Source organism: Homo sapiens, chromosome 12 (genome assembly GCF_000001405.40).
Source record: "Homo sapiens chromosome 12, GRCh38.p14 Primary Assembly".
Taxonomy (NCBI): domain Eukaryota; kingdom Metazoa; phylum Chordata; class Mammalia; order Primates; family Hominidae; genus Homo; species Homo sapiens.
Genome location: NC_000012.12, coordinates 71,213,285 through 71,224,729, shown reverse-complemented (window position 1 = coordinate 71,224,729; position 11,445 = coordinate 71,213,285). Strand labels below are relative to the sequence as shown.

Here is an 11,445-nt window from a genome sequence, read left to right as displayed (position 1 = left end):
TTGAAGGTGAGACCAGAGGTGAAGGACCAGTTAGAAGTGACTTCAGCAGTGACTAAGCCTGACTACCTACTCCATTCCTTCAGACTTTATCTTCCTAGACTTCTCAGCAACATTTGGCATTATTGAGCATTCATTCCCTCTTTGAAAAATTCTTGTGTCATGACTACTGTGATACCACACTTGTTTGTATTTCTTCTTTTTCTCTGGATGCTCCTTTGGGGGCTGACTTCAATGTTGATACCTTGTAGGATCCTGACATGACCTGTTAGTCTTCTTGCTCTACACAATTGCTTTCCTGTTATTTCAGTTAGGTGCCAATGGCTCCCAGCTCCACATCTCTAGTCTAGATTGTTCTCCTAAGCACTAGACCTGTATACACTTGAATGTCTAACTGAAATCTTACGTGTCAAGACATCCAAAATGAATTCACGATTTTGAAAAATGCCTTTAGAAGGCATAGTGCTGGGCTGTTTTTACAGATGGAGTCATTAATTCTGTGCTAGAAATAAAAGGATGATGGCTCTAACTTTACTAGCTTTATTGGTTGCTTTGCTTAACAAATATTCTTAAAGATCTACAATTGGGACAGATCTATGGGAAATATAAAGATGCTTAAAATAAGGTTACTCTCTGCCCAGAACTTATGGTTAAGTATGGAAGGAAAGGAAATTAAGCTATGTTTTATCAGTTTATGGTGTGACTGGGACTTTTGCATGCCATGTAATTTAATCTTTACAATTCTTCGGGTGGGCATTATTGTTGTTGTTCGAGTGAAGACGTGAGACTCAAAGATACTTCCAATATCATGCAGTGAGAAATGGTAGAATACAATTCACCCCAGTCTACTACGTTACTAAAATCCAGGCTTTTTCCTTCACACCACCTGACTTAGAATTTAGGGATCATTCAGTAGGAATACCCAAGGTAGGGACATTACAAACTCTCTCAATATCTAATCCATAGAGTATTTATTTTGCCCCCACCAGACTCTTTTTAATCCCAGTCTTTTCTACCCCACTACCTGGAATCTGGAGCCCACTTCCAACTTTTCTCTGCCATTATGGAAAGTAACCATGAAAGAATTTTTTTTTCAAAATGTTAAAAAAGATTTAACTGACATAAAATTGTATGTATTTATTATGTATAATATAAAGTTTTGAAGTATATATATACATTGCAGAATGGTTTTACTTGATTATTTCAGTGGACTGGATGTTATTTGCTGACTTACTTATTGTGTCAGTAAAGGATTTCCAGAGAAACAGTACCAACAGTTTGTATGTGTAGATATGTGTGTATATTTCCTATACAGAAAGAAATGATCAGAAATTGGCTCACATGATTGGTTAGGAAGGCTGGCAAGTCCCAGGATCTGCAGGATGAGTCAGCAAGCTGGAGACCTGAGAGAGCTGACAAATTAGTTCCAGTCTAAATCTGATGGCCTGAGAACCAGAAGAGCAGATGGCATAGCTCCAATTCAAAGGTGGGTAGGCTTGAGACCCAGGAAGACCTGATGTTTCAGTTGGAGTCCAAAGGCAGGAATAAAAGCCAATGCCCAGTTCACAGGTCATCAGGTAAGAAGATTGCTGTCTTACCTGGGGGAGAGTTAGCCATTTTGTTCTATCCAGGCCTTCAACTGATTAGATTAGTCCCACCAACATTATAGAGGTTAATTTGCTTTATTCAGTCTTCTGATTTAAATTTTGGTCTCACTCAAAAATGCTCTGATGTAAACACCCAAAATAATGTTTGACAAAATATCTGAGTACCCCACGGCCCAGTGAAGTTATCACATAAAATTAAGCTTTACATTTGTAATACAGAAATTATATCTGGAGATTAGTAGGTGGCATGATTCCTGCTGTCAAGGAATCAAAGAAAAGAAAGATGAAAAAAAACTTAGTACTGCATCTTCTCAGTGGGTTACTCAAATATCTGTTGAATATGCCCAGTATATTATGATCCCAGCCCTGGAGAGAAAGGGCACTTTACAGTTTTGGTGATGATGATGATGAAGTGTAAGTCACTTAAATACTCGACAGTTTTATTTATGGAGTGAGATACTTCCTTTAATGCTATTTTATAGGCAACGGGGAAAAGTCTGCAAACATATTTTGGATAACATACAAGTTTGTCAGGGTCTTGAGTTACTCAACACTCAAAATGCAGGCGTACCTTATGTTAACACGGAACATTTACACTTTATGCAAGCAGGGCTTGGGGAAGTTTTAAAATATCTGGAAAACAGACTTTATATTAAGATGTTTATACCAGAATGATGAGTATATCACAGTTTTCCCAGGAAATGGTTTAGTAGACAAGGTTGATTCAGAGGCAGCTCTTGACATAATGGAAGTCTTTAAACCTTGGAGTCTACTGTTGCAGGAATGTGGGGCAGTAAAATCAAGGGTGGACAGCATCTGTGTTCTTACCAACTTGCTTAAAGTTCAAACGCTTCTTCTAGTGTCATACCAGGGAACAAACCCTGGACCTGAGAGGGGAGCTGTGAATAGCTACACTAAACAATTTCACTTTGGCAAAAGTTATCCACCTGGAGCACAAAACTACTAGAACTTTGTCTTGGCCATTCTAGTTGGCAAATTAAGAGTCAGATGCTGTGAAATTAATTTTTGGCAATCAATCTTTCTCCTTCTTCTCTTAATCCGAGTCATAGAATTATATCTTACAGTTGAAAACACATTCAGAGGTTGGCTAGTTTCTCTGCCTCTCATTATTCATAATTCGTGGGTTCATTAGATCTGGTTGGGCCACATATCTCATCATGGGAGTCTCCATTTTAAGATGCTGTGAGTGTAAAACTTCAGGGATGTTTCTAATTGATCCTTTCAGTAGAGGAAGTATTTTCTCAGTCACATATATGCCATTGGTAGAAGTGGTTTCATTCTTTCTTCTGCAATGGCAGTTTTAAAACATAGAGGATTTACTCATTTCATTTACTTCTTCATTTAACAAATATGTGTTAAATGTCTGAACACTGTGTCTGGCAGTGGAAACAAAAGGTGATCAAAAACAAAGAAGGACCCTGTCCTTACGTTACTAACAGTTTAGGATTTTATCAGTAATTTCCATTATAATCTAATTATTATTTAGATCTTTTACGTTTTATAATAACAGCAGAATGAGAAAAATAGCAAAAGAAATGAAATTTAAAATTTCCCTTCTGCTCTCTTATTTTGACTTCCTCCATTTAAAAATATTTCTTTCATGTAATTGTCTTATGCCTACCTTTAAACCATAATGTTAATTATGGTGCACATTTTGCATTCAACTTTTCCTGTCTAAATGATCTTTGCAGACTCTTCTCCATAAGTGTTGTGTCACAAGTATTTCCCCTATTAACATCTTCAAAACGATCACCTTTATAAATACAGATAACTTGCCATATAATTAAATATGCTTTTATTTGGGGACATTTAGTTGTATATAGTTCAGCAATAAATAACATTGGGGTTGGTTTCTTTTTTCTTCTCTTCTACTGTTTCTTTCAGTGACTAAAGAATTGGAATTCTATATATGAGAGTAATGAGATGTTTTTCTTCTGTATTAAGCAAGGTGAGAGATGGACTGATATTTTGGGGTCACTCAAATTTATCCTATCCAATCTATTCTAGATTTATCCTAGAATTCCAGTTGGCTAGAAGAACTAGTATGAAGCCCAAAAGGAAACCAAACACATTTTGTAATGCGTGATGCAAACATGTTTTTCTCTTCTTTTTATTAAAAGTAAAAAAAAAGAGGGATGTATGTGTGTATATATATATATATATAGTCATAGGATTACATATACATGAAAAGAGACATTGAAACCACTGACAGTATTTCAAAATATATTTTTTCAAGTTTAAGTTATACTTATCACATATTTATGCTGGCTTGCTGGAATTCTGAAATGTGAGTTCATCATTAAAATGGCTATAATTTCTTATAATACAGAAATAATTATTTTTGGCCAATCTTGTGATCATTCCCATGTGTGTTAATATCCCTTCCCTTGTCTTCCTTTGTGTAAAAATAGGTATGGACTTACTGGAAGAAAAGTCTGTGCCTTTTTACCTCTCTTGGGTTGCTTCTTCAAAGGGTTGTGGATGGGGATGTCGGGGTGGATATTCCTGTTGAGAGTCCTCATGTAGCTATCACAGGAATCTCTAATGGAGGACAGGCAGGATCTAATGAACAGCAGGATGCAATAAAGCTGTTAAGTCGAGCCCTGCATGGTTCTGGATTTCAATTATTCTGTGTGGCTGATGAGATTCTGAATTACCAACAGCTGCTCATTTGCTCACTTTCTTGTCTGCCACCGCTGCCAGCAGCTGTTCTTTCTTACCCCATATCCAGATGCAAACAGCTGTTCTCTCTTTCTTTACAATTGTTAGCAGTGGCTCATTTTTGCCCCAAACACATGGACACCTGCAGCAATAGGAATTGTATTTTTCAGTTGTGAGGAAATGTTGGACAGCTTCATGAAGGTTGAATGGAGTAAGGGAAAGAAGGAATGAGAAGTGATTAGATACAGAAGGAGCCTGTGTTGGTAAGCCAGAAGGTGGATAAGATAATTCTAGTTATTCTTCAGTGGCTGCATATGTCTGTGACAATGGATACTTGTAGTTCTTCCTTACCTTCCTTCCTTTCCATTCACCTTGGAAAGCAAGGAGCCATCACTAACAAACAAATCCCAGGAAACTGAGCACTTAGGAAAAAATTATGATGGTGCTCTAATGACTTGGTTTTTATTCATTTATTTAAGAAATATTTGTGGCTACTAGTACATGTCAGGTACTGTTATAGAGACACAATAGGTGCTAAATAAATGAGTATGTTTTTATGAATATGTTCACACATAAATACAACTTATCAGTTCTGACTCTGTTTATGATATGAAAAACCAACATTTTAAATGAATTTTGTTTGTTTAATTCAGCCCTTTTCCTCCCTGCCATTAGGATTGGGGACCTTTGGATTATGTCGTTGATCAAGAAATATTCCTGGTTCTCATGTCTCTCTCTTTTTGCAGGGACTAGGGTGAGAAAAATGTAAAGAAGGGGGAATAGAACTTAAATTTATTGAGCACTTATCCTATCTCCAGTACTGTGCATTGTTCTTTACGTAGGTTTTCTCATTTCATTTTCATCAGAATGTTAGGAAATCGGCATATTTTCATCTAGCTGATAAGGACACTGAAGTTGGAAGTGTGAAGCTGCTTACCTAAGGCCATGTGGTCAGGGAATGATCCAGGATGGGACACAGACTCTCTCGCCCCAAAGCACAAGTTCTTTCACTCTATCCAGCTTCCACATGCTTTTCCTTCCTCTATTCAGGCTGCAGAGATAACAGTGATAATTGGGTTTAATACCTTAATTGTGGAAGCAGATATATAATTGATCTAAAGGCTTAATCTTCAATTGGAAATTGGTCCAAATGTTACTTCATCATTTTAAGCTGTGGGACAGTCATAAAAGATGAAATAAAAGGAGAGATGTTAGGGCTCATAGCTCAGGTTGCTATCACAAATAAAATCTCTACACCCTCGGGCTCTTCTCTGTTAAGAGGGTTTCTAAAGAGTATTTGGCCAAAGTATGGGAGGACTTAATATTCCCATTTCACACCCTAACTTAATCCATTAGTATCCAAACAATGTTAGCGGTTATACTTTGGGATATTGAGTGGGAGAGAACTGGCTGAGGCTCTAAGGAAACTTTCTATGGTTTAGGGAGCCATTAGGAAAAAGCTTCTTATTCTTGTAAAAATTTCTCAAACTTTCAGGGCTGGGTTCCTGTGGCTGGCTGATAGTCAGCCTCAGTTAGATTCTTGCCAAATTGAGCATCAACAGCTCATTTGGCTTGGAAGAAAAAGAAATGAGAAACAACTGACATTTGTATACTTGAAATTATGAGCTGTTTCTCTAACAAAGAGACCAAACACTTTGGGCTTGTTTTCCAGTAAACATACACACTGAACAATCTGGCCGGCTAGCAGCTGGCTGTGCATATGTAGGGCATATGTGAACACATATGGATGCATAAAACTCACATATGTTCACTTAAAAGGACACTGTCAAGTCATTTTATGGCTTTTTTTTTTTTGTTCTCTGGGCTCTATTGTTTATAAAATCTTCTTAGAAGCTTAAAAATACAATTTCTTTCCCTACTGATTTTTTGTTCTTTCTTTCTTTTTTAAAGCAAGTATTTGGAATGGCAATCAAATAAATGGAACTGGTTCTATTTAATACCTAATCCTACTTAAGCATACACAGCAAAGTACATTGTCCGATCAGAAGTAAAACACTATGAAAGAGACAATTCCTTATGAAGAGAAAAATAGGCACATTCTGTCTTCAGAGGAGACATTTCAAATTAAATAGTACTTACAAGATTATTTTCTGGCATTCCAATGCTTTTAGTGTGTGTTAGATATTTCATATGGATATTAGTGACTATAATAAATCATATTTTCTACTTTCTAAAATATATTTTAGCAATATTCTTCTAGCTTCTTTATTAAGTAGAGGTCTTTTAAAAAAATCTCTGCTTTGGGCAAATGCTGTGAAGAATCAAATCAAAATAGCCCAACAACCTGAAAAGATGCTAAAAAAAAATCACAAACAGTCAGAAAAACAAAAAGTAAATAATAATAAGTTATCATTTTACACCCATCAAGCTGAGAAAAAGTAAAAAGCAAAACTGTACATAGCAAGTGAAGATGTGAGGGAAGGAGTACTTTCATACGTTGCTGGGGAAATGGGAATTTTAAGCAGCTTTTTGAAAGTAAATTTGGCAACATTTCATAAATTAAAAAAATATATACTTATGTCCGTACCAGTGCATAAGGATATAGACAACAGCAGCATTATTTAATGTGGCAAAAGTAAAACCAAGTGAATGCCCTTCAATAGGGACTGTTGGTGAATAAATTAAGGCATATTTATACCATAGAATATAATATAGCCACTCAAAAGAGCAAAATGGAGCAATACCAGTTGACTTTGAAGAATTACCACCTGGTATTGTTGAGATAGAAAAGTAACATGTATAGAAGAACATGTGAGTCTACATTATGAATCAATGACCAAAACAACTTTTGTATGTATTCATTTGTCTCTCTATAGTCTATCTATCCATTTGTATAAGGTTATATGATGGAAAAAATATGAACAGATACATACCAGGTTGTTAAGGTGGGTTTTCTGGAAGGGGTTGGGGGAATTGTGGTGATGGTAGGTGAGGAAGCTAAACAAAAAGGGAAGAATCTAATATAGGCAAAATCCAGTAAGAAATGGTCATATTTATGCAAAATTCTGTGTGTGTACATTCAAAGGAATACTTGAAATAATAAGAGATCATTAAAATAAAGACATTCTCATCTTCTACCAGAATCTCCATGGATAACAATAAAGGAGGATGTGACAGTTCCGACAAACTCAAATAATCCTGGAAAAAACTGAACTTGAGGGTTGGCTGAAGGTTTATATGAATTTCCCATGGAAGAACAAGATAAGCAGGTTGCATTCAATCATTTCAGGGTACTGGTGCCACCAAGTGGTGTCTGGAGCAATTGTTGGTGGCATTTTATTACCCCACTAGTGACAGAACCTCTTGGCTTACCTATGCCTTCCATGGTAGTAAACAGAATGGGGATGTTTACTACCCCCCGTGGAGTTCTCCGTGGAGTGAAGCACACACCTGTGATCCTGGCACTCAGATGAACAGGAAGTATGAAAAAAATGAGTATGAAGCAAACAGCTTTGGCCCTGGAATCTGATCTCACCTTGGTTTCTCCTGCTGGCAATTGCTCTACCATGCCTGACCTTTACCTATCAAGTCCCTTGAGATGTGTTCAAAAGTTTATAACTACTTGGACCAGTGTCACAACTTGTATATCTTCTTTAACTGCTTTAACTGTGATTTTAGATAATGTCTCATATAGGTTTTCTCTTTTTATTGCTGCCATCGTGGCTTGGCCTTTCCTTATGTCTTCACTGGTGTCATAAAAATGTTCATGGGCTTTCCTAGCCTCAGTCTCTCTCTGCTCCAATCGAGCCATAACCCACTTCTATGCTAAGCTTCCTGAAGTTCTGGTCATTTAACAACACTACTGAAAAGCCTTCAGCTGTTTCTCTGTAACTACTAGCAGAGTGTGACCTCAGAACTCAGCACAGACTTTTAACAGGGTGACTCTAATGTCTCAATTTGCCCAGTATAGCCCCAGTTTCCTTCTATTGTCCCACTGTAATCATTATGGCTTTCTTCATTTTCAACATTGTCCTAGTTTAGATATTACATTTTATGGATACCTGAGCTTTTATCTACTTAGTTCTCCTTCCTCTAATATATTAGAGATATGCAGGCATTATGTGATTTGGTGGGCACCTGGTGTTGATGAGTCCACAGCTCCAGGCCTCTACAGGTCAACTAGTTGTATGCATATATAAGTAGGCTAACAGAAGAAAGTGTAAAGTTTGTGGTGGATAGAGAAATTGGACTCAGAGAGGGCTCATATCTGAATTAGAACATCTCTGTGTGTGTGTGTGTGTGTGTGTGTGTGTGTGTGTGCTTTGAACATTCACAAACTAAATATAAATTATTTGGGATTTATCACCCTATTTAAAATTTATTTTCTTCTGTAATTTATATAAAGGCAGTTTTTGAATTTTAGTAAGAAAATCTGCCTTTACATTTTTAACTAATTTATTTTTAATTTGTATGGACACATTATAGTTGTACATGTTTTGAAACATATGTGACACTTTGATGCAAGCATACAATGTATAATCATCAAATATGGGTAGTCGGGATACCCATCACCTCAAACACTTATCATTACTTTGTGTTGGGAACATTCCAATTCTACTCTTCTAGTTATTTTGAAATATACAATGAACTATTGTCAGCTAAAGTCGCCCTAAGTGTTTGTGCTACCAAATACTAGATCATATTCCTTCTTTCTAACTGTATTTTTGTACCCATTAAGCAACCTCTCTTTATCCCTTCCTCTCCACTATTCTTCCCAGCCTATTTTTTGGCTCCCACATATGAGTAAGAACATATGCCATTTGCCTTTGTGTCTTTGGCTTATTTCACTTAACATAATGTCTTCCAGTTCCATTAATGTTGTTGCAAATGACTGTATTTCATTCTTTTTATGGTGAAATAATATTCCATTGTGTATATATACCACATTTTCTTTATCTGTTTATCTGTTAATGAGCACTTAGGCTGATTCCATATCTTGGCTATTGTGAATAGTGCTACAACTTTTGTATTTTTTATGTAGCTCTTTTAGTGGATAAGAAGAGCACTATTTGGGACCTAATGAATATCACACTCATAATTCATTACCAAATGAGAAAAATATTCAACTAAGTAATAATACAGTCATGCTAAAAATTTTGAGGAGTTTAGAAACATACTGTGTACTTTTTTGGCACAAAAGGTCATATGCCTTATTTATCCAACGATTAGTGCATTGCTTGGTGCATAAATACAGTTGAGTAGAATTTGAAGCAGACTGCAAGTTTATAGAACTGAAATTTGGTTACTGCATTCTGGTTTAAGTATTTCCTATGTCTGCTACATTGTGGTGTTAACAATCTGTTAATGGTTGAATGCATACTATTTAGGGAATGCTTTGTCCTTAGCTCACCATCAGTAGGAATGCACTGTGAGTTTTTCCTAGAGTTGAAAAGAATTCGAGCTCAGCCACCCGTTTTCTCTTATTCAGTTCTTTTTTTTAACCACTTAAATATATTTTCAAGACAGCCAGAGTCTGTGTTCTTGAAAAAGATTTTGTGTAAGAACTAGTTGACCTGTAGAAGCCTGGAGCTGTGGCCTCATTAACACCAGGTGCTCACCAAATCATTTAATGCCTGCATATCTCAGATTATCTTGTGCGGCTCTTTTGCCTTCTTTTCTGGCCTAAAGTTGAGTCAATCTAAAGTATAGAAAGTTGGAATTCAACCTAAGCTACTGTTTAACTAGCTGAGTGTCATTCACCGACAGTTATCCGTTTGTTTCCTGTGTGTTCCTCCAGGTGCTAGGACTTCCTGGAGAAGGGTGTCCACACACAGGCCAGCTTATGCTTGTCATGTTAACCCTCACTGAGTAAACTGCTCTCTTTACCTTCTTTTCTTCAACTGATTTTATGAAACTTTTTCCTGATCACACTGTCTTCAGGAGGAGAATCAGGCTTTGGACATAATGGCACATGCCCTGATATTCAGTACTCTGCGATCCATTGGCTTTCTTTTATATACTTTTTCTTTTTCTCCAAATGTGTATTTAATGGAACTGCAAACTGAAATACAAGGGCTATATATGTATGCTTCATTTTCTGTAAAGATGCCCCATATTTTGAATTCTTTCAGGTAAAGGACTGTATATATATTGTATAGACTCTGAGTCTGCCTGGATTTAAATCCCAGCACTGTGTCTTAGCAGCTTTTTGACCTTGGACAAATGATGGAACCTCTCTGTGCCTTACATTACTTATCTGCATTGTGGGGCCAATAATCTATCTTCTGGGTTTAATTTTATTTATTAAGAGCTTTACTGAAATATAATTCACATGGTATAAAATTCACCCATTTAGAGTGTTCAACTCAGTGTTTTCTCGTGTATTTACAGATTTGTGCAACCAACCCCACAATCTAATTTTAGAACATTTTCATCATCCCCCAAAGAAACCTTGAACCCATCAGCAGTCACTCTCCATCCCTGCTCACAGTTTTTTATGAGGATTAAATGAATTGACACATGAAAAGCACTCAGAATATTGTCTGGCACCTTGTAAGTGTTCTCTATTATTATTGTTGATATTATTATTATCAATACCATTACTATTATCTTTGTACCCTCAGCCAACATAGCATCTGATGCTCACTAGGTCCTTGCTGAATAAATGAGGAAATGAAAGATGAAACATTACATCTTCAGCATTTGAAGTAATAGTGAGAGAAATGCCCAACATTATGAATACTGTAGACATGATCCAAGTCACAATAGGATCTGTTAGCAGTATTTTACTGAAGAAAGGTACATTAACACAGGCTTTTATCACAATGGCTCAGCATGATGGTGTCATATAATAACCAAAGAAAGTTAGTCCTAAATCTTGAATGCCAGTAGGTAAACTTGTGACCAAGGGAAAGCTACAGATGTTGCTTCTCTGCATAGTTACCTACAAAATGAAATTGTATTCAACGAATCACTTCTAACTTCATTCCTCTTTCTAACATCCAGATTGCTCACCAATAAATGTCATGAGAATTGTATATCATATTTGTATATTGCATTCATTTATGATTTTATTTGTTGACAGTTCCCAGAGTGTATCATGTTCCCAAAGAGAACAGAAGTGTGGATTATCTCCATTCTTTATTTTTCCAATGACTTTCCTCTGCCTATAAGATGAAGACCAAACTCCTTGGCCAAG

General features: G+C 36.4%; 1 long non-coding RNA gene across 1 annotated transcript; it reads right to left on the bottom strand.

Moving 5' to 3' along the window:
- Nucleotides 1–3,895: 3,895 nt before the first annotated feature.
- LOC105369831 (uncharacterized) lies at nt 3,896–7,896 on the bottom strand. The gene is made up of 3 exons (XR_945081.2): nt 7,620–7,896; nt 5,224–5,337; nt 3,896–4,428 (listed from the first exon to the last, which is right to left on the bottom strand). It is a non-coding gene; the product is annotated as an uncharacterized LOC105369831 (long non-coding RNA).
- Between the last annotated feature and the right edge of the window lie 3,549 nt (nt 7,897–11,445).